The following is a 22,908-nucleotide window of genomic DNA, read 5'->3' on the forward strand; positions in this document are numbered from 1 at the left end:
ACTATTATCTCTATTTTACAGGAGAATTGGGAAACAGAAAGGTAAACTAATTTGTCTTAACAATTCACATAACTAGAAGCTAGTGGAGCAGGAATTTGCTATTAGACAGTCTGCCTCAAGAGCCTGTGCTCTTCAGTGCTACACTCTACTGTTTGTCCACATAATGATGTCATCTTTCCAGGCCTATCATAGGCTACCTTTGCAAACTGGTCTCTGACTCCCCCCAAGATAATATTCGTCATCCCTTCTCTGTGGCCCTACAGCACTCTGAAAATATATCTAGCCCAGCATTTATCACATAAATAATAGACAGACAGATAGTATCTATCTCCTTGTCTGTTGTCCCACTAGACTGGGAATTCCTTAAGGAAAGGCACTGTCTCTTCAACTCTGAAACCGAAGTACCACACAGAATACCCAGCACTTCATTGAATGCTTACTGAATGTTTGCTGGATGAATAAGTTACTACTATCACGGACATAATTATACTTTAGCAACAAAATACCATCAGGCTAGCAAGCTAATTATAAGGCATACTGCTTCTAGAACATTCTAGCCTCCAGCCAACCTTCCACAAGAGACTGCCTTCTTTTTCTCCTTTGGACCTTCCCTGGATGGCAGTCTCTTTCCCATTCCGTCCATCCCATCCCACTCTACCTGTGATGTCTTCTCCTAATGCCAGGGCTATCCTTTCTCCCTTTCCAAACAGATATCTAGGGGAATGGCACTGTGCCTAAGCCAACAAATAATGATAATGATAATAAAATTAATAGCTAATACTTGTTTAGTGTTTATTATGAGCCACCCATGGTTCTCAGCATTTTCTATACAGTAACTTATTACTCCAAGTTCCATCACAGATGGACTCTAGGGCATCAAAGGGCTGTTACCTGCCTGGTCAGCATGAAGCCAAAGGATGCAAGGGTTAGAGAACTTCAGAGGACCTCCAAGGGGACCACCACCTTCTTCCGTATGTTGACGATGGAGAAATTCACTATGAGAGATTCCTGTTTCTTCAAAAACTTGCAAGCTCCTAAGTAATTTAAAAGGGGAGGGAGGGGGCACACCCATAAAAACCAATAGAAAATATTCATTCTCAAGTAAAACAAGGAGAAAGGCTGTTTATTACAGAAAGCCTCTTTCTTGAAAGCCAGTCACGACAGTGTGCACATCTGTAGTCCCAGCTACTCAGGAGGCCAAACTGGGAGGACTGCTTGAGCTCAGGAGTTCAAGACCAACCTAAGCAGCAACAGACCCTGTCTCTTCAAAAAGGGGGCATGCAGAAAGGCTTATTCTCATTTTCACTGCATTAAGTTCCAAAAGACATGAAGGTCTAGGGTTACTCCAGTCCTACAGCTACTCAGAAAAGGGTACTAAAGAAAACTTTAGGTAAAGTAAGAAATAATATTATTTTTCTAAAGATATATAAATTATTCTGAAATCAGTTAAATAGGTTCAGAAACAACAGGTTTCTTCTACACAAACAGAATGGTACTCACTCACTTTCAGATAAACAGTAAAAGAGCTTGTTTGGGACACTTTGTAACAAGCCAACAAGTCTGGTCTGGCTGGCGTGCCTTTCCCACAGTACAAAAGCATGTTGTACATCCAGCTCATCAGCTTTCTTTTTAAATATGTCAAATTAATGAAGAATGCTCCTGGCTAATCCAGTGCTCTACTGGCACAAAGATCACTGAGAAAAGAACTCACATACTTATTCTTAAGCCACCATCCACTTCTGTCCGTATCTATTATGTTATGCAGCACTAGGTAATTTAACTCCCAAATCTACACTCTACCACTCTGGGTGATTGCAACTTATCAGCCTGAAAGTGATCTTTCTCTTCCTGACCCAATTCTACTTCCTGAAACCCTAACGCAAGAGTGTAGACCCCCTTGTCTTTCAGTATCACTGGTTTCTCAAAGAAGATCTATGAGAAAAAATGTAGTAATAGATATCTCACTTATCTGGAGTTAAAATACAGCCTCAAGCCAAAAGAAAGATTAAAAAAAAAGAAAGTCCTCATTCTCTAAATGAGACTCTAGAGCTCTTGCTTAGAACCTATTGACTCTTACTAAGAAAAAATTCTCAAACTCATTACTCGTTTAGACGCAGCAAAATGAGAAGTGATAAGAAAGAACTGATTAGTAAAAGGAGAGAATAAACACCAAGCTCTAGAATCATGTAATAAAACAATATAAAAATGAATGTTTATCATAATGTTCCTAGGTTTAAAAAAAATTGAATGTTTTCTATTAAAGTGTTTAAAATGTTTGGATACTGAAAAGTATAAACTTCATTAATCTAAAACATGCATTCTTAATGAGGTTATACATTGCCTTTAAGGGGGTGAAAAAACTTAGATATTACAATTTGTGCCCCACCCCCCTGCCGTGCAAAGGACAACCCTACCTGAAGAAATCCTTTTCTTGGCTGAGTACTGTGGCTCATGACTATAATCCCAGCACTTCGGTAGGCTGAGGCAGGAGGATCGCTTGAGCCTAGGAGTTTGGAACCAGCCTGGGCAACACAGCAAAACATCTCTAAAAAAAATTAAAAATTTAAAAAACTAGCCAGGTATAGTAGTGCACACCCGTAGTCCCAGCTACTCAGGAGGCCGAGGCAGGAGGACATCTGAGCCCAGGAGGTCAAGGCTGCAGTGAGCCATGATTGTGCCACTGTACTCCAGCCTGGGCAACAAAGTAAGACTCTATCTCTTAAAAAAAAAAAAAAAAAGTAATAATAATAATGAATGTTTTAAATCCTATATTCTAACATTAAGTTTCACTGAGGGGGGTAAAATTAGGAGGAAAAATATCAAATTCATTTGAGTGGAATACTTCACAACCCCTATGAATATGAGATGTTACTTTAATATTTAATCTGTATAACCATCAATAGAACAGGTCCTTCATTAGATGTTCTACTATGCTGGAAGTGGTATCACTCCTAATACTGCAGAAAAATAAACCTAACATGAGGCTGCAATTCCAAAACAACCTAAAAAAACATGACCTTGTGAGTTCATTCACTACCTCTCTTCCCTACCAGATAGTTTCCATGTGCAAAGGTGAGCTGATCTGTGAGACAGTTAATAAAATCCACCTCCCACTGGGAAAGCTGCTGGGGCAGAACACGGCATTGCATAATCAGTTATGAAACCCAAATCACAATGTAAACAAACTGCATGCCAGAAAAAATGTATATGAAAACTGTTATACAAGCAAAGATCAAATAGAAAATGAAGCAACATTATATAGGCCCTAGGGGAAAACGATATTGTACTATGCATTTAAAATGTAACAAAGTAGGCTGCAATTATTTATTGAGGGAGTTGAACTGAAGCAATAACTCAGGGCCTCCCAACCTGCTGAGCTAGAACAACACATCAATCTCCACTAACTGCTATTACCAAATCTCTCTCATCATCTGGGCAAACTGAAGAACTGACTGCTCTCTAGTTGTAAAGGAATTTGGGGTCAGCGCGCCAGGCTTTCTTACCTGGCCACTTTGCGTTTGTCATGTGGATGCAGCTTGGCAGCCATTTCTGGGTCCACCTGGCTTAGGCGTTTGTGAAGTACAAGACCATCCTCCTTTTCAAGCTCCACTTTTCGGTCAATCACTTTCTCAGTGCCCATCTCCTGGGGCTATTAAATGATGGTTTAGAAGTATATTTAATTCAACCAACACTGAGACAGTGTATGTGCCAGGCACTTTGCTAACTGTCAGGAATACAGAATAATCAGAAGATCTTGCCATATAGTGAGAGATCATAAACAGAAAATTCCAATATGCTGTGGTAAGTGCTATGAGGCCACAGCAAACAAAAAAGACAGAAGACTTACAGCATAGGGAAACACCTGGCTATTTGCTTCCCTGTCAGAAGTTCAAACAGGTACCAGGGCTAATATGTCTATTTTAGCATATCCAGGAGTCTAGTCTTCTCAGCAAGGGTGAACAAGGAGACCAGGATTGCCAGTGAATTACAGTTTACACAGTCTTACCCTACATAGTAGCACCTACGTAAATAAGGTCAGTGTTGGACATCTCCCTAATATACATACTGTGCTGCCAGCCAGGAAATACTGAATCAGGCTAATGGCTAACGTACTGGGTTTTTTTTAATATAATTTTTCTAAAGAATTATACATATTTTTTTCTTGAATCGCATCTGTTTTTTTTTTTGAGACAGGGTCTCGCTCTGTTGCCCAGGCTGGAGTACAGTGGCGCAATCTCAGCTCACTGCAACCTCCGCCTCAAGCCTCAAGTGATCCTCCCACCTCAGCCTCCCTAGTAGCTGGGATTACAGGTGCGTGCCACCATGCCTGGCTAATTTTTGTATTTTTAGTAGAGACGGGGTTTAGTAGAGATGGGGTTTCACCATGTTGGCCAGGCTGGTCTCGAACTCCTGACCTCAGGTGAGCCACCCACCTTGGCCTCCCAAAGTGCTGGGATTACAGGTGTGAGCCACCACGCCTGGCCTAATGAACTGTTAATTTATATGGAGATGCTAATTAATCCACACAGCAACATTTTTCCCACACAGAGCCCCTTCCCATAGACCAGCCTGGAGGAACACACTTCACACATGGAGGTGGCATTTGCTTGAGAATATTAAGTAGGAAAATTATAGTTGCTGGGTATAAGAAATAGGCAAGAGTCAACCTTTCTCCCACTGAAATTAGACAGCAAGAAAGAGCAATCCATTTCCTCAGTGAGTTACGAGTGAACTAAACTTACCTTGGTATTGACAAGAACTTTCCAGAGCAGAGATTCAATGTAATAATTGGTTCCTCCCACAACAATAGGAATTTTGTCTCGGGCAAATATATCTTCAATGTGAACATTAAGAAAGATATCACGATATCAAGAGAATCCTGACTCACTTTGGAAGGACACCATTAGCAAGAAACCACATTCATTTATCTGCAGAGCAGAGGAGAAAGGGTGGGAACCAAAATGCGTTGATACCAGCCCTCAGTGTTTCCAACAAATTTCCAGAATCATGTCCAATCAGTTCTGGAGGGACTTGCAGAAACCAGAGACAAATGCATAGTGGTAATTCCTTCCAGTTCTAGAACTTTCTAGGTCTTGCTGCTAAAAGTCAAAGTTTTATTAGTATTCCAAATCAGTTCAATAAGCACAAGCCCAAGGACTCTCACAGAACCAAGTGTCAGCTGCTCAGGAGGCCATCAAGGTGACATCCATTGCATGACTTTGCCTTCTAAGGCAAAACACAAGCTGGTTTCTCTAAGGTTCTTAGACTTAGTCAGTCTCTACCATCATGGAGAGACTATCACATTTTGCCACTTGAGGCTTGACCAAATTAAGTGAGATGCACAGGTTCTGAAGATAAATAGACTTCAATTTCCAGGTTCAGCTCTTGGACAATTACTCAGCCTGTCTGAGTTTCAGTTTTCTCACCTGTAAAAATCCCCATGAGCCTTAAATGTGACAATTCATAGAAATCCCCTATCACAATGCCTAAAAAATAGTAAGCACTCAATTTACTATAGCCACTATTGTTTTTTCATCTCTGCTACTTTAAATTTTTCTCTTTAGAATCTCCGTTGAACAGATAATTATCTGCTTTAAGGCGGCCTTTGCTCCTGAGAATAATTTTTTTTTTTGAGACAGGGTCTCACTCTGTCACCAAGACTGGAGTGTAGTGGCGCGAAAACAGTTCACTGCAGCCTCAACCTCCCAGGGCTCGAGTCATCCTCCCACCTCAGCTCCCGCCACCAAGTAGCTGGGACTACAAGCACATGCCACCACATCTGGCTAATTTTTGTATTTTTTGTAGAGGTAAGGTTTCACGATGTTACTTGCCCAGGCTGATCTTGAACTCCTGAGCTCAAGCAATCCATCCACTGCAGCATCCCAAAGTGCTGAGGTTACAGGCGATAGCCATCGTGCCTGGCCGAAAATAACTTTTTTTAAAAGACTTTCAATATCCAGGTAAATAATCATTTACACATTTCTCCTTGCCAGCCAATCTGCAGGCATAGAGACAGACCACCTCTTTTCTACTAGAATCCCACTAACCCTTAAGCGGCTAAGGCAGGGTGGGAAGAAAGATGTTACCAATCAAGGATCATAAAGAAAAAACACTGTTTGCTTTAAAAAGAGAAAACAAATTCTCTATTTCCCCCTTTAAATTAAGTATAGGGAGCATACAATTTCCACAGTAAGATAAAATGTCAATTATACACAAGTTAAATATCCCTTATCCAAAATACTTGGGACCAAGGAAATGTTTCAGATTTTGAATTATTTGCATTATACTTACTGGTTGAGCATCCCAAACCTGAAAATCTGAAAACTGAAATGCTCCAATGAGCATTTCCTTTGAGCATCATCTCAGCACTCCAAAAGTTTCAGATTTTGGAGTATTTTGGATTTTAGATTTTCAGATGTTCAACCTGTAGTATGATTAACAAAGGGAAAGTGAGCAAAGAAATGAAAAGGGGAAGGGAAAAATGTTAAGATTCCAGAAGAGGAGAGAGTGGAAAGAGGAAAGAAGATGGGATAGGACATACTTCACGGGAAAAGGTTTAACTTATTTGTGCAAGCCATGAAATGACTGTGATATTGAGCAAACACCCTTCTACTCTTTGGGCCTCAGTATCTAGTACCTTCACCTGTCGAATCAAGAAGGCTGATTGGGGCCAGGCGTGGTGGCTCACACTTGTAATTCCAGCACTTTGGGAGGCCGAGGCAGTAGGACCACTTGAGCCCAGGGGTTCAAGACCAGCTTGTCAACATAGCAAAATCCATCTCTACAAAAAATAAAATAGCCGGGCATGGTGGCTCATGCCTGTTATCCCAGCACTTTGGAAGGCCGAGGCAGGTGGATCACGAGGTCAGGAGTTCGAGACCAGCCTGGCCAACATGGTGAAACCCCGTCTCTACCAAAGATACAAAAAATTAGCCAGGTGTGGTGGCATGTGCCTGTAGTCCCAGCTACTCAGGAGGATGAGGCAGGGGAATCACTTAAACCTGGGAGGCGGAGATTGCAGTGAGCCAAGATCGCGCTATTGCACTCTAGCCTGGGTGACAGAGCAAGACTCCGTCTCAAAAAATAATAATAATAAAATGAAAATAATCAGCTGGGTGTGGTGGTAAGCACCTGTAGTCCCAGATATTTAGGACGCTGAGGTGGGAGGATCACCTGAGCCCAGGAGGTCAAGGTGGCAATGAGCCATGACGGTGCCACTGCACTCCAACCTAGGCAACAGAGTGAGACTGTCTCTAGGAGAAAAAAAAAAAAAAAAAAAAATTCACGTACCTCCATTTGAATCTATATCTGGGTTTTCTATTCTGTGCCACAAATATATCTAGTACTAAATAAGTTCCATGCTATTATAATTATTATGACTTTTCAATCTTTTAATATATAGCAATCCAGATACTAAAGGCAGTCTGCATGTTAAGACATAAGGGCAATCCCCCTTATATTATTCTTTTTGCAAAAATTTCTTGGTTTTACCCAGAACTATATTTTCCAGTCCTCTCCCATCTAACAACCCCTTTGAAATTCTAACTATAACTCCATTATATTTATAGATTAACTTCGTATCTCCATTTAAAGGATAGAAAACCGAAGCTCAGTGGGGTTAAGGAAATGCTTTACCCAGTAAAATTCACATGGTAAAAAAGGCAGTTCTAGGACTGTAACACAAATTTTCTGATTCTTAAATTGGTGTTCTTATCACTAAAACAGTGCTTCTCAAATTTTAATGTGTATATAAATCACTGGGGACTCCCGTTATAATGCAGATTCTAATTCAGTAGGTCTGGAGTGGGGCCCAAGAATCAGCATTTCTAACAAGTTCCCAGAGAATGATGATGCCACAGTCTAAGGACAAGAATTTGGGTGACAAAGACACTGTATCTTTCAGTCCATAGTCTGATGGGGATGGCATCCATCAGTATTTAGGCCTTGGGTGCCCCTTCTGAGAAGAAATTGCCACTAGAAAGAAAACTTCTCTCTTGGCTTGGGCTGCTTTCACCCACCAAACCCAGCTGCTGCCTTTCCTAAGGATATCAGAGCAGTTGCTCTATTTCTGAAGTCCACCACTGTGTAATTGGTCACAAGAGGATCCACAAAGCTGATCATGTGGTGCCGGCAGATTCTCTGCTCTTGGGCAGAAACCTTGTTGGTGATGATGTCTAGGCCTTCATAGACCTAGGGGAAAGAAAATTAACATGAGAAAGTCAACCACCTCCATAAAAGATGCATACTTAATGAATAGAAATTTTGATCTATTTCTCCCTCCTGCCAAACACTTCACTGACCCAAAGCACCAGGGTAGATGTATTCTAACAAACAGCACAGCCAGATCCACGAAACCCAAAACAAAGAAAGAAGAAAATACAGCATTGGTTTTCTTATCAAATAGTAGCTATTAGCTCAGATTTAAAGGTAAGAAGGATATGTAAATACATGCCCAGAATTAGTAAAAACGAATTCTGCATGGCCAGAACTTTAAAGCACTGAAAATTGGGCAGGTTGTTTTACTTATCACAAGACTCCAGAAAGGTAACATTTGCATTCATTGCTCATAGTTCTACTTCAAAATGCTTAGGTATTTCTTGGATTTAAATAGCTCTAAAAGGTTTTCAGAATTTGTGTAAGATTGGTTCCATTTGTGGAGAAGGAGTCTACAAAAATACATATAAAACATACACATACACACTTTGAAGTCAGAACCCCTAATACTGCTGTACTCTAGTGGAAACATTGTGATCTATCAAAATTACTGCTTCAGGGGTCAGCAAGGACAATCTAAATACTCAAAGGCAATATCCTGTCTGTGAGCTCTTGATCTGCCAATTCGACTAAAAAGTTCAAGTGTACTTTTTCTAAATGCAAGGTCTCCAAGAACAGATCTGAAAATACCAGTTTGAAAATAGGGATGAATACTTTGAGATTAAATGTTCTCTGTAATCACTGATTCTACAGGGAGCACTGAATGAACAAATAATAAGTTCCGTAGAGCCCACAAAGATGTTAAAAGCATTTTTATCTCACGTTTCCCTTTACTTACACGGGTGTCAAATAAGTACAGTACAGTGTAATGGTTAGGAGGAAAGACCCTGGCGCCAGGCTGCCTCAGCTCATTTCCTAGCTCTACCACTTACTAGTTATTCGTAGTTGAAGAAGTCAGTTACTAACCTCTCTGGGCCTCAATCTCTCATCAGTAAAATGAAAATAATAATATCTACCTCATAGGGTTGTTGTGGGGATTAAATGAGTTACTACTAAAAAGCACTTAGTTTTTGCCTGGCACATTTTAAGGGCCACATTGAGGGTCACTATTACCTAATTGCTATCATTATCACTACTACTATCACAATAACTAAAGGAGAAAGGGAAATAATTTTAGTGTTACTGTTTAATACTCAGAAGGCTCTATGCTCTTAGTGACTGAGGTCATTTACCAAGCAAGGATATAAGCTATCTTCAATGAAATAAAATCGGTAAACAGTAAAACAGCATATAAATAAAAAATAATGTAAATAAGAGCCATAAGGAAAGCATCAACTCTGCCTTTTTAACTCATTTAATTTGTGCCTGACAGCAGACTCACATTCTCATACCTGAAAATTAATGGAATCATAAATCATAGAGTATTCTTTTCTGTGTATCTTGAACAAGACTTCCTTCTAATGTTATACAAGGTCATATGGTTATTATACACTGGTGTCTTCTATGCACATTAAGAAAACTAAAGGGGAGGCCGGACGCAGTGGTTCATGCCGGTAATCCCAGCACTTTGAAAGGCCAAGGCAGGCGGATCACGATGTCAGGAGTTCGAGACCAGCCTGACCAACATGATGAAACCCCATCTCTACTAAAAATACACAAAAAATTAGCTGGGTGTCGTGGCGTGTGCCTATAATCCTAGCTATACTCAGGAGGCTGAGGCAGGAGAATCGCTTGAACCCAGGAGGCAGAGGTTGCAGTGAGCCAAGATCACGCCATTGCGTTCCAGCCTGGGCAACAGAGTGAGACTCGACTCCGTCTCAAAAAAAAAAAAAAAAAAAAAAAAAAAAAAAAAAAACGAAAGAGGCCAGGTGCGGAGACTCACACCTGTAATCCTAGCACTTTGGGAGGCTGAGGTGGGTGGATCACTTGAGCTCATGAGTTCAAGACCAGCCTGGGAGACATGGCTAAACTGCGGCTCTATAAAAAATGAAAAATTAGCCAGGTGTGGTGACACACACCTGTAGTTCCGCTACTGGGGAGGCTGAGGTGGGAGGATCCTTGTGCCTGGAAGGCGGAGGCTGCAGCGAGCCGAGATCATACCACTGCACTCCAGCCTGGGCAATAGAGCCAGACTTTGTCTCAAAAAAAAAAAAGAAAGAAAGAAAGAAAAGAAAACTAAAGGGAGGAAAAGAGTTAATAATAACTGTTTATTCCTCTCTCTCTCTCTTTTTCTCACAGCCCTTGGTTGGCTCTGCTGTAGCTTAGAATTCCAAATGATCCCATTTTAAAGAGCTCACATAGCAACAACTTGATTTTGCTAGTAGAGGATTTCTAAATCCTGTTAAGTATGTTACAGTAAAAAGGATTCTAAATTTTTACACTGAGATTAATGTTAATCAGTGTCAAATGCATAGCTGCAAATGTACAATTACCCACACCTCCAACAAGGACAAAATGTAAATATCTCTACCAGCACCTTCTATCAGAAACCCTAGAAGGCTAGATAAAATTTCTTCCTGTAATCTGCCTTTAGGTGTATCTTCTAGAGGCCCTTAAAATGGTGAGCTTAAACAAACGGACACATAAATATAATTCAAACAGAAGGTAACCCAGAGCTAGCTCACCTTATTTACTAAAGGAAGTGGCCTATGGTACTGCTTATGATAGATAATACAAATGCCACCAAATATCAGGAAGAAGAAAAGAGTATTAATGGTTTAAAGAAAGCAGAGCTCTTACTCATAGTTAACAAAAACTGTAACTCATAAAAGTACTAAATCTTGGTTACTAATATAAATTGTCATCTTTGGGTAGTCTGTTAACTCTTTGCCTCTTACACATTCAGATTAAAAGAAATGGGTCATAAAGATGTGGGTGATACAGACTAGACATCTGATTTACATATAATATGGTTTTATGGGTATGTTTTATAGTCGTTAACTAAATCTAAAACTGAAAACTTCTGAGCACCAAACACACAACTCGGAGGAAACGCTCACTGGAGTATTTTGGATTTTAGATTTTCAGATTTGGGATGCTCAATTGGTAAATATAATGCAAATATTACAAAATCAGAAAAAACTAGGAAACCAAAACACTTCTGGTCCCAAGCATTTTGCATAATGGATACTCAACCTGTACCACAGTACATTAAAGTACAATAAATGAAAGTATATGACTGTGACCTGCATTGCAACAATAGGGAAAGGAGAGACAAACTCTAAGTGAAACAAGATTGGCCAAGTGTTCATAATTATCGACTCTAGGTGATGGATATATGGGTAGTTCATTTCATTATTTGCCCTTCTTTCTTTATATGTTGGGAAATTTCCATGACAAAAAGTTTATTTTAAAAAAGCCGCGTGCAGTGGCTCACATCTGTAATTCCAGCACTCTGGGAGGCCGAGGCAGGCAGATCATGAGATCAGGAGTTCAAGACCAGCCTGACCAACATGGTGAAACCCCGTCTCTATTAAAAATACAAAAATCAGCCAGGCGTGGTGGCGCACGCCTGTAATCTCAGCTACTCAGGGGCTGAGGCAGGAGAATCGCTTGAACCCGGACGGCAGAAGTTGCAGTGAGCTGAGATGGTGCCACTGCACTCTAGCCTGGGCGACGGAGCAAGACTCTGTCTCAAAAAAGACATGGATGTACTTCACACTCATTATAATGGCTATTAGAAAAAGAAAAAAGAAACAGATAATAGCAAATGTTGGCAAGGATGTAGAGAAACTGGAACCCTTGTGCATTGATGAGGGGCATGTAAGATGATGCAGCTATTACGGAAAACAATATGGCAGTTTCGGGAAGGGCAAGGTGGCTCATGCCTGTAATCCCAACATTTTGGAAGACTGAGGCAGACCCAGGAGTTCAAAATCAACCTAGGCAACATAACGAGACCCGATCTCTAGAACTTAAAAACAACAACAACAACAAAAACTGGAAGAAAAACAATATGGCAGTTCCTCAAAAAATAAAACAGAATTAACATACAACTTAGCAATTCCACTTCAGGTACATACCCAAAAGAATTGAAAGCAGGGTGTTAAACAGATATTTACACATCCATGTTCACAGCAGCATTATTCACAATAGCCAAAAGATGAAGTAATTCAAGTATCCATCCACAGATAAACAGACAAACAAAATGTGGTCTACGCATACAAATGAGTATTATTCAGCCTTAAGAAAGGCAGGAAGTTGGCCGGGCGGTGGGTCGTGCCTATAATCCCAGCACTTTGGGAGACTGAGGTGGATGGATCACCTGAGGTCAGGAGTTCGAGACCAGCCTGACCAATATGGTGAAACCCTATCTCTACTAAAAATATAAAAATTAGCCAGGCGTGGTAGCAGGCACCTGTAATCCCAGCTACTCAGGAGGCTGAGACAGAAGAATTGCTTGAACCTAGGAGGCAGAGGTTGCAGTGAGCTGAGATCGCACCACTGCGCTCCAGCCTGGGCAAGAGAGCAAGGCTCTGTCTCAAAAAAAAAAAAAAAAGAAAAAGAAAAAAAGAAAGGCATGAAATTATCACACATCCTACAACATGGATAACCTTGAACATACTATGCTAAGTTAAATAAGCCAATCACAAAAGGACAAACACTGTACGATCTCATGTATATGAAGTACCTAGAGTAGTCAAATTCATAGAGACACAAAGTAGAATATTAGTTACGAGGAGCTGGGGAGAGGGGAAAATAGGGATTTATTGTTTAACTGGTACAGAGTTTCATTTTAAGAAAATAAAAACCTATTGAGATGGAAGGTAGTAATGGTTGCAGAACAATGCTATTGTACTTAATGCCACTGAAATACTGAAATGGCTAAAATGGCCACCGAAATGGTTAATGGTCAATGTTATATCACAATTTAAAAAAAAAAAAAAAAAGACTTGGATGATAGCTTTTAGGCACAATAAGAAACTAGTGAATAGCAGCAATGAAATAAAATTTTCAAAATTATTAAGAGCTGGTAATGTTCTATTTCTTGTGATATTCCGTTTCTTGAATTGAAATTCAGTTGAGTTGTGGTTACACAGATATTTTAACTTTTTATTATTGTATTGAGCTGTACAGTTATTAATTATGTGTTTTTATGGGTATCCTTTATTTATCAAATAAAATCATACTGCACAGTTAAGAAGCAAAAACACAACATTTTTCACATTTGTACCAGGCATAAATATCTAAACAAACTTAGAAATTAATCAATTTTGTAAGTATCACATTTGGTCCAGAGGTTTAGGTCACATCCATGCTCTAAATGCCACAATCAGGCTTATTATTTTATTACCAGCCTAGAAAACATTCACATGTGAGATTTGTAGCTGAATCTCTTACACTTACCCTATTTTTCAGCTTCAATTACAGTTTCAGCATCACTCTACCTACAATCAGCCTGAATGCTGGGAAGAGCCAAAAGGATCTGTGTTATCTTTCAAAGACAGCATGCCACTCTGCTCCATTTCCCCTTCTCCCAAAGGATACTTGTGATCTGTGTGCATGGAAATGATTTGGAATGAAATGCTTTTCTCTGCACAAACCATATTTTGACAACTAAGGGACAACTGGCTTCTTTGTAAGGCCTGATGACTGAAATATTCTGAAAAATTCCAGGTTTAATCCACTTCATCAATTATCTAACATAATTGACTTATCTCTACAAACATTTACTAAGCGTCTACTATGTGTTAGGTATACTGCAACATGTTAGTTATGAAAAGAAGATTAAGAAAGTCCCATGGACGGGCATGGTGGCTCACACCTATAATCCCAGCACGTTAGAAGGCTGAGTAGGAGGATCACTTGAGACCAGGAGTTCAAGACCAGCCCGGCCAATATAGTGAGACTCCATCTCTACCAAAAATTTAAAAATTAGTTGGGTGTGGTGGCACGTGCCTCCCGGCTACTTGGGAGGCTGAGGCAGGAGGACTGCTTAGGCCCAGGAGTCCAAGGCTATAGTGAGCTAAAAAGGTGCCCCTGCACTCCAGCCTGGGCAACAGAGCAAGACCCTGTCTCTTAAAAAAAAAGAGTCCTAGTCCTCAGAGTCCAAGTTAGACACAAATAGCTGTAATTAAAGAAGATACATGATACAAGAGTGTATAACCACTAAACATTTAATGTTCTAGGCATTAAATTGGGCATTATAGAAAAATATACCACTTTGTTGCACCTCTATTGATGGTTTATTTCCACACTGAAAAAAAAAATTTGTAAAAATGGTACAACGCTGAAATAACCTGAACTCTCCAAATCAACAGAGCTGAAATGCCTGGAGGAACTAATGAAGGTAAAAGAAATCTACAACAGAGAAAAAAAAAAAGAGATATGAAAAAAAAACTATAAACAACAACAACAACAAAAGATATGGAAAAAACAAAAAACAAAAAAAGAAATCCATAACAGAGAACTAGAAGAAGAAAACCAGCAGAATCCAGACCCATGGTTCTCAATTCAAGTGATTTTGTTCACTGGGAGACATCTGGCAATGTCCAGGCTGGGGTGCAGTGGTGTGATCTCAGCTCACGGCAACCTCCACCTCCCAGGTTCAAGCAATTCTCCTGCCTCAGCCTCCCAAGTAGCTGGGATTATAGGTACCTGCCACCACGCCTGGCTAGTGCTTGTAGTAGAGACGGGGTTTTGCTATGTTGGCCAGGCTGGTCTCGAACTCCTGACCTCAGGTGATCTGCCAGCCTCGGTCTCCCAGAGTGCTGGGATTACAGGTATGAGCCACTGCACCCAGCCAGAAACATTTTTGATTGTCACAACTGCAGGGCTGGGGGTGCTACTAGCATTTAGAGGGTAGAGGCCAAGGATGCTGCTACACATCCAATGATGCACTCTGGTCTAGCCTTCAGCCCCAAACACAAAGAATTATCCATCCCCAGGCCAGGCGCGGTGGCTCATACCTGTAATCCCAGCACTTTGGGAGGCTGAGGCAGGTGGATCACGAGGTCAGGAGATCGAGACCATCCTGGCTAACACAGTGAAACCCCATCTCTACTAAAAATACAAAACATTAGCCGGGCGTGGTGGCAGGCGCCTGTAGTCCTAGCTACTCGGGAGGCTGAGGCAGGAGAATGGTGTGAACCCGGGAGGCGGAGCTTGCAGTGAGCCAAGATTGCGCCACTGCACTGACAGAGCGAGACTCTGTCTCAAAAAAAAAAAAAAAAAAAAATTATCCGGCCCCAAAATGTCAACAGTCCTGAAATTGAGAAACCCCGATCTAAAGAAATTTCACCTTGCAGATACTCCCCCCAGTTTTTTACGTGTACAGCCAAAGATCCCATCCTTTTAAGGCTCCATCCTTTTGGGCTGCCTTGCTGTAGGGTGGCCCTGAGTGTGCTAATCAGCAGCAGTGTCCGTGGCAGTGGGCAGATCCCAGAGCTCTGAGTGCTGGCTGTGATGTCCCAACATAGCTGTCTACAAGCAAAAGGAAAAGCTGCCCCCTGGTTTGGTTCCTTCCCTGCAAGTTATCTTCCACCTTTTCACTTATGTCCTTCCCATTTCAAATTAGATCCTAAAGTCCTTCAATCACTTTCTTGCCTCAATGGATTACACCTGCCTTGAAAACCACAACCTTGGATTATGGCTCAATATAATCACTGCTTGCTGCCCTCCACTGCCCTATGGATATCTTACTGAGATCATTAATGAACACTGACTGCCAAATATAACACTTTTCTACTAAGCTCTCAAAGCAAGTAATGGAAAAAGCAACAATCTGATACTATTGAGCTCTCTCCCCTTCATAATCACTCCCCTTTGGGGCTTCAAGGGCACCATTCTTTCCAGGTTTTTCTTCCTATCCCACTAGGCCTTCCTCCATCTACTTTACTGAGGCCAGCCACTGATCTATTAGCAGTATCTGTCAGGAAACAATATTGAGAAATGGCAGTCTTTATGGCATCCATCTGCCTTTTTGTATTATGAACTTTCTCTGGGTGACACCCATGGCTTCTACAACCACTGTTGTGCTGATAACTCCCAAAATCCATATCCACAATCTAGTTCTCTTTTTGTGGTGCCAGACCTGTATATTCAACTGTCTAGTGGACATTCCATCATTGAGAGGCACATAGCATATAGAAAAGTGGTTAACAGTAAGGATTCTCATCAGGCATGGTGGCTCACGCCTGTAATCCCAGCACCGTGGGTGGCTGAGGCAGGCAGATCACTGGAGCCCAAAGTTTGAGACCAGCTGGGCAACATTGTGAGACTCTGTCTCTACAAAAAAAAAAAAAAAAAAAGAAAAGAAAATTAGTCAGGCATGGTGGTGTGCACCTGTAGTCCCAACTACTCAGGAGGCTAAGATGGGAGGGTCATTTGAGCCCAAGAGGGTGAGCTGCAGTGGGCCATAATTGCACCACTACACTCCAGCCTGGGCAGCACAACGAGACAAGAAAGAAAGGAAAGAAGAGAGTGATAAAGGAAAGAAGAGAGTGATAAAGGAAAGAAAAGAAAAAGAAAGGAAGGAAGGGAGGGAAGGAATGAAAGGAAAAAGAAAGAAAAGAAGAAAAGGAAAGAAAGAAGGAAAAGGAAAAGAAAGAAAGGGAGGAAAGAAAGGGAAGGAAAAGAAAAGAAAGAAAAGAAAAGAAAAGAAAAAGAAAAGAAAGGGAAGAGGGAGAGAGGGAGGGAGGGAAGGAAAGAAGAAAGGAAGGAAGGAAGGAAGGAAGGAAGGAAGGAGGAAGGTCAAGTTTTTCTTCTGGAACCTCAAGTTTCTCACATCTAACATCTCTTCTAGTTCTTTTTTTTAGACAGAGTCTCTGTCTCCCAGGCTAGAGTGCAGTGGCATGATTTTGGCTCACTGCAACCTCCCCCTCCCAGGTTCAAGCGATTCTCCTATCTGAGCCTCCCAAGTAGCTGGGATTATAGGCACCTGTCACCACGCCCAGCTAATTTCTTCTAGTTTTAATAGTCCAAGCTTCGGGAGAAAAGATAGTTTTAGCATAGGTAGATGAAAGGAAAAATTATTTTCTTAAAGATGTTGACACTCACTGGGAAGTTGATTTTCCTTTAGACAAATTCAACTGAAGAGATGTTGAAGAGTACGGGAAAGGCTGATTTCTTGACTCACTTTACTTTTTTAATTAAAAGAAAACTTTTTTTAAACATAACTTCAGTAGGTTAGGACTAATAAGTTTGCTGCAGGAACATCAAGGCAATTACTCTTTTCAACTCTGGCAGAAATTCAACTGTAGATATGCTGAATAAACTGGACACATTAAGATGCTCAGAAAGCAGGAGAAGGCCAGGCACAGTGGCTCACACCTGTAATCCCAACACCTTGGGAGGCCAAGATAGGAGGATCGCTTGAGCTCAGGAGTTTGAAACCAGCCTAGGCAACACAAAGACCCCATGTCTACAAAAAAAACAAAACAAAAACAAAAAAACAGTTTTAATCAGCCAGGCATGGTGGCACGTGCCTATAGTTCTAGCTGCTCAGGAGACTGAGGTGGGAGGACTGCTTGAGCCAGGAGGTCAGGGCTGCTGTGAGCCATGATTGCACCACTGCACTCCAGCCTGAAGTGAGACACTGTCTCAAAAAATAAAATAAAAAAGCAGGAGAATCTGTGCCTGATCTGTTGAGTCAGTGTGATGAGACTCATGGTTTGGAATTTATAGTGCAGATTATGGCTTTTATTCTTTCCTACGGCTCTTCTCTTTAAGGGAAAAGGGACCAGAATCATATAAGGCCATAGTTTTCTTCTTTTGTTTTTTTGAGATGGAGTTTCGCTCTTGTTGCCCTTGCTGAAGTGCAGTGGCACAATCTCGGCTCACCGCAACCTCCACCTCCTGGGTTCAAGTGATTCTCCTGCCTCAGCCTCCCGAGTGGCTGGGATTATAGGCATCCACCACCATGCCTGGCTAATTTTGTATTTTTAGTAGAGACGGGGTTTCTCCATGTTGGTCAGGCTAGTCTCGAACTCCCAACCTCAGGTGATCCGCCCGCCTTGGCTTCCCAAAGTGCTGGGATTACAGGGGTGAGCCACTGCGCCTGGCCAAGGCCATAGTTTTCAAACTGAGATGTGTATAACATACATGTGATACATTCTTCTGAAGTATCAATCTTACTAGGTAGCAGAAAAAAAAAATTGAAACATTTTTACATCTAAACAAACATTAGGGCAGAGAATGCAAAATTGGCACATATTTTTAAGTTAAAACATGAGAAACTGCGACACAGAGCTTCTGCAGTGGCTGCTTGGAGTCCACCTGCAAACAAACACTGGAGAAGCTCTGCATCCAGTCCAAACACCCAACATTTTATATTCGAGAATACTCAGGCTCCCCTGGCCATATAACTGGCTGGAAGCAGAGACAGGACTAATGCCAGGCTGCTCTGCCTATAACCCAAGCTATTTCTGCTGCCACTCACTAGAATTTTTATCCCCATTTGACTCTGGTATATTTGTTTGCTTCAAGTAATGAATTCCTACTGAGGTGAAATTAAATTCCAGAAACTGAGGAAAAGACAGCTACCACACACTGAACCCCTTCAAGATTCTTTTTTTTTTTTTCGAGATGGAGTCTCGCTCTGTCGCCCAGGCTGGAGTGCAGTGACTCCATCTCGGCTCACTGCAAGCTCCGCCTCCCGGGTTCATGCCATTCTCCTGCCTCAGCCTCCCAAGTAGCTGGGACTACAGAAGCCCGCCACCATGCCTGGCTATTTTTTTTTGTATTTTTAGTAGAGACGGGGTTTCACCGTGTTAGCCAGGATGGTCTCGATCTCCTGACCTCGTGATCCATAAAAGAAAAAAAAAGATAAATTAAATTAGGCATTATAAAAATGTAGAACTTTTGCTCTGTGAAAGATACTGTGAAGAGAATGAAAAAATAAGCCACAGATTGGGAGAAAATATTTGCGAATAACATATCTGATAAAGGATTTATACCCAGGATATATATAAAGAACTCTTGGCCAGGCACAGTGGCTCACGCCTGTAATCCCTGTACTTTGGGAGGCTGAGGCAGGTGAATCATCTGAGGGCAGGACTTCGAGACCAGCCTGCCTAACATGGTGAAACCTCATCTCTACTAAAAATACAAAAAATTAGCCAGGCGTGCTGGCAAGCACCTATAATCCCAGCTACTCAGGAGGCTGAGGCAGGAGAATCACTTGAACCCGGGAGGTGGAGGTTGCAGTGAGCCAAGATCGCGCCATTGCACTCCAGCCTGGGCGACAAAAGCAAAACTTCCTCTCAAAAAAAAAAAAAAAAAACTCTTAAAATTCATCAATAAGAAAACAACCCCACTCCCGTGGGCAAAAGATCTGAGAGACACTTCACCAAGGATATACAGATGGCAAATAAGGATATGAAAAGAAGCTCAACACTGGCTGGGCGTGGTGGCTCACGCCTGTAATCCCAGCACTTTGGGAGGCCGAGGCGGGTGGATCACCTGAGGTCAGGAGTTCTAGACCATCCTGGCCAACGTGGTGAAACCCCGTCTCCACTAAAAATATAAAAATTAGCTGGGCGTGGTGGCAGGCATGTGTAATCCCAGCTAGTCGGGAGGCTGAGGCAGGAGAATCGCTTGAACCGATGAGGCAGAGGTTGCAGTGAGCCGAGATCGTGCCACTGCACTTCAGCCTGGGCAACAAGAGCAAAACTCTGTCTGAAAAAAAGCTCTCCCTCTCCCTCTCCCCCTCCCCCTCCCTCTCCCCATGGTCTCCCTCTCCCTCTCTCTCCAGGGTCTCCCTCTGATGCAGACTGGAGGCTGGACTGTAGTGCCGCCATCTCGGCTCACTGCAACCTCCCTGCCTGATTCTCCTGCTTCAGCCTGCCGAGTGCCTGGGATTGCAGGCGCACGCCGCCACGCCTGACTGGTTTTCATATTTTTTTGGTGGAGACAGGGTTTCGCCGTGTTGGCCGGGCTGGTCTCCAGCTCCTAACCGCGAGTGATCTGCTAGCCTCGGCCTCCCGAGGTGCCGGGATTGCAGACGGAGTCTTGCTCACTCAGTGCTCAATGTTGCACAGGCTGGAGTGCAGTGTTGTGATCTTGGCTCGCTACAACCTCCACCTCCCAGCCGCCTGCCTTGGCCTCCCAAAGTGCCGAGATTGCAGCCTCTGCCCGGCCGCCACCCCGTCTGGGAAGCGAGGAGTGTCTCTGCCTGGCCACCCATCGTCTGGGATGTGAGGAGCCCCTCTGCCCGGCCGCCCAGTCTGGGAAGTGAGGAGCGCCTCTTCCCGGCCGCCATCCCATCTAGGAAGTGAGGAGCGTCTCTGCCCCGCCGCCCACCGTCTGAGATGTGAGGAGCGCCTCTGCCCAGCCACGACCCCATCTGGGAACTGAGGAGTGTCTCTGCCCGACCGCCACCCCATCTGGGAGGTGAGGAGCGTCTCTGCCCGGCCGCCCCGTCTGAGAAGTGAGGAGCCCCTCCGCCCGGCAGCCGCCCCGTCTGGGAAGTGAGGAGCGTCTCTGCCAGGCAGCTGCCCCCTCCAGGAGGTGGGGGACAGCCTCTGCCCGGCCAGCCGCCCCGTCCGGGAGGCGGGGGGCGCCTCTGCCTGGCTGCCCCGTCTGGGAGGTGGGGGGCCCCTCTCTCCGGCCGCCACCCCGTCTGGGAGGTGTACCCAGCAGCTCATTGAGAACGGGCCATGATGACGATGGCGGTTTTGTCAAGTGGAAGGGGGGAAAGTGTGGGGAAAGGAAAGAGAAATCAGATTGTTGCTGTGTCTGTGTAGAAAGAAGTAGACATGGGAGACTCCATTTTGTTCTGTACTAAGAAAAATTCTTCTGCCTTGGGATGCTGTTAATCTATGGCCTTACCCCCAACCCCGTGCTCTCTGAAACATGTGCTGTGTCCACTCAGGGTTAAATGGATTAAGGGCGGTGCAAGATGTGCTTTGTTAAACAGATGCTTGAAGGCAGCATGCTCGTAAAGAGTCATCACCACTCCCTAATCTCAAGTACCCAGGGACACAAACACTGCGGAAGGCCGCAGGGTCCTCTGCCTAGGAAAACCAGAGACCCTTGTTCACATGTTTATCTGCTGACCTTCCCTCCACTATTGTCCTATGACCCTGCCAAATCCCCCTCTGCGAGCAACACCCAAGAATGATCAATAAATACTAAAAAAAAAAAAAAAAAAAAAAGAAGCTCAACATCATTGGTCTTTAGGGAAATGTAAATTAACGACAATGAGATACCAGTACATAGAACTGCGGAAATTAAAAGAAAAAAAAAAAAGCCTGACAATACCAAATGCTGGAAATAATATAGAGATACAGAAGAACACGAATTCTCATTCACTACTGGGAGAAATACAAAATGGTACAGTCATTTTAGAAAACAGTTTGGTAGTCTCCTGTAAAGTTAAACCATAAAGTTACCAAACAGCCTAGCAATCCCACTCTTAGGTATTTACTCAAATGAAATTTCACACTAAAACCTGTACATGAATGTTTACAATAGCTTTCTTTATAATCACCAAAAACCAGAAACCCAGATGTCCTTTAATAGGTGAATAGACACCAGGCGCGGTAGCTCACGCCTGTAATCCCAGCACTTTAGGAGGCTGAGGAGGGCGGATCACCTGAGATCAGGAGTTCAAGACCAGCCTGACCAATATGGAGAAACTATGTCTCTACTAAAAATACAAAATTAGCTGGGCGTGGTCGCACATGCCTGTAATCTCAGCTATTCGGGAGGCTGAGGCAGGAGAATCATTTGAACCCGGGAGGCGGAGGTTGCAGTAAGCCAAGATTGCACCACTGCACCCCAGCCTGGGCAACAAGGGAGAAACTCCGTCTCATAAAAAAAAAAGGTGACTAGACAAACTATGGTACATCCAAACAGTGGAATACTACTCAGCAATAAAGAGCATTGGACGCATGCAACAACATGGAAGAATTTTAAACGTATTTTGCTGGCCAGGTGCAGTGGCTCACGCCTATAATCGGAGCCTGAGGCAGGTGGATTGCTTGAGCTCAGGAGTTCCAGACCAGCCTGGGCAACGTGGTGAAACCGTCTCTACAAAAAATACAAAAATGAGCCAGGTGTGGTGGCACAGGCCTATAGTCCCAGCTACTTGGGGTGCTGAGGTAGGAGGATTGCTTGAGCCCAGGAAGTTGAGGCTGCAGTGAGCCGAGATGGCGCCACTGCACCCCACCCTGGGCAACAGAATGAGACCCTGTCTCCAATCAATCAATCAATCTACCTTTTAAAAAAATGTATTTTGCTAAGTGAAAAAAGCCAAACCTCAAAGGCTACATATTGTATGATTACATTTTAAGACATTCTGGAAAAGGCAAAACAATAGGGATGGAAAACAGGTAAGTTGTTGCCAGAGATTGAAGGAGATAGAGGGGTTGACTACAAAGGGGCCACTATAAGGGATTTTTTAGGGTGATAGAACTGTTCAGTATGGTACTGTGGGGTATATATCTGACTCTATGCATCTGTCAAAACCCATAGAACTAAACATCATAAAGAGTACACTTTACTATATGTATGCAAAAAATTTTTAAAAATGTTTTTTTGGGACAGAGTCTTGCTTTGTTGTCCAGGCTAGAGTGCAGTGGCACCATCATGACTCACTGCAGCCTTGACCTCCCTGGCTCAAGCCATCCTCCTGCTTGAGCCAGGAGAAATTGGGACTACAGGTATGTGCTACCAGGCCTGACTAATTTTTTTTTTTTTTTTTTTTTTTGTAGAGATGGGCTCTCACTATGTTACCCAAGCTGATCTCAAACT

The 22,908-nt window shown here is 42.8% G+C and overlaps 1 protein-coding gene across 18 annotated transcripts in view; it reads right to left on the reverse strand.

Annotated features, from left to right (window-relative positions):
* The window catches only part of TRIT1 (tRNA isopentenyltransferase 1), a 45,402-nt gene that overhangs the window by 11,118 nt on the left and 11,376 nt on the right, over positions 1 to 22,908 (reverse strand). For 3 of the 18 annotated variants that reach the window (NR_132415.1, NM_017646.6, NM_001312691.1), the window contains exons 2-5: positions 8,050 to 8,190; positions 4,743 to 4,841; positions 3,504 to 3,649; positions 892 to 1,034 (exon numbers count right to left, since the gene is read on the reverse strand). The exons of 4 other annotated variants lie outside the window; for them this stretch is intronic. Coding sequence is in view for 4 of the 14 variants with exons in the window: in NM_017646.6 (NP_060116.2) it covers positions 892 to 1,034; positions 3,504 to 3,649; positions 4,743 to 4,841; positions 8,050 to 8,190 (529 nt within the window). In the remaining 10 variants the exon portion in view is untranslated. Of the gene's footprint in view, positions 1 to 891; positions 1,035 to 3,503; positions 3,725 to 4,742; positions 4,842 to 8,049; positions 8,191 to 22,908 lie in introns of those variants that run through there. 11 more of the 18 variants (NR_132406.1, NR_132405.1, NR_132403.1 and 8 more) reach the window with 7 other exon arrangements.

Source organism: Homo sapiens, chromosome 1, assembly GCF_000001405.40.
Source record: "Homo sapiens chromosome 1, GRCh38.p14 Primary Assembly".
NCBI lineage: Eukaryota > Metazoa > Chordata > Mammalia > Primates > Hominidae > Homo > Homo sapiens.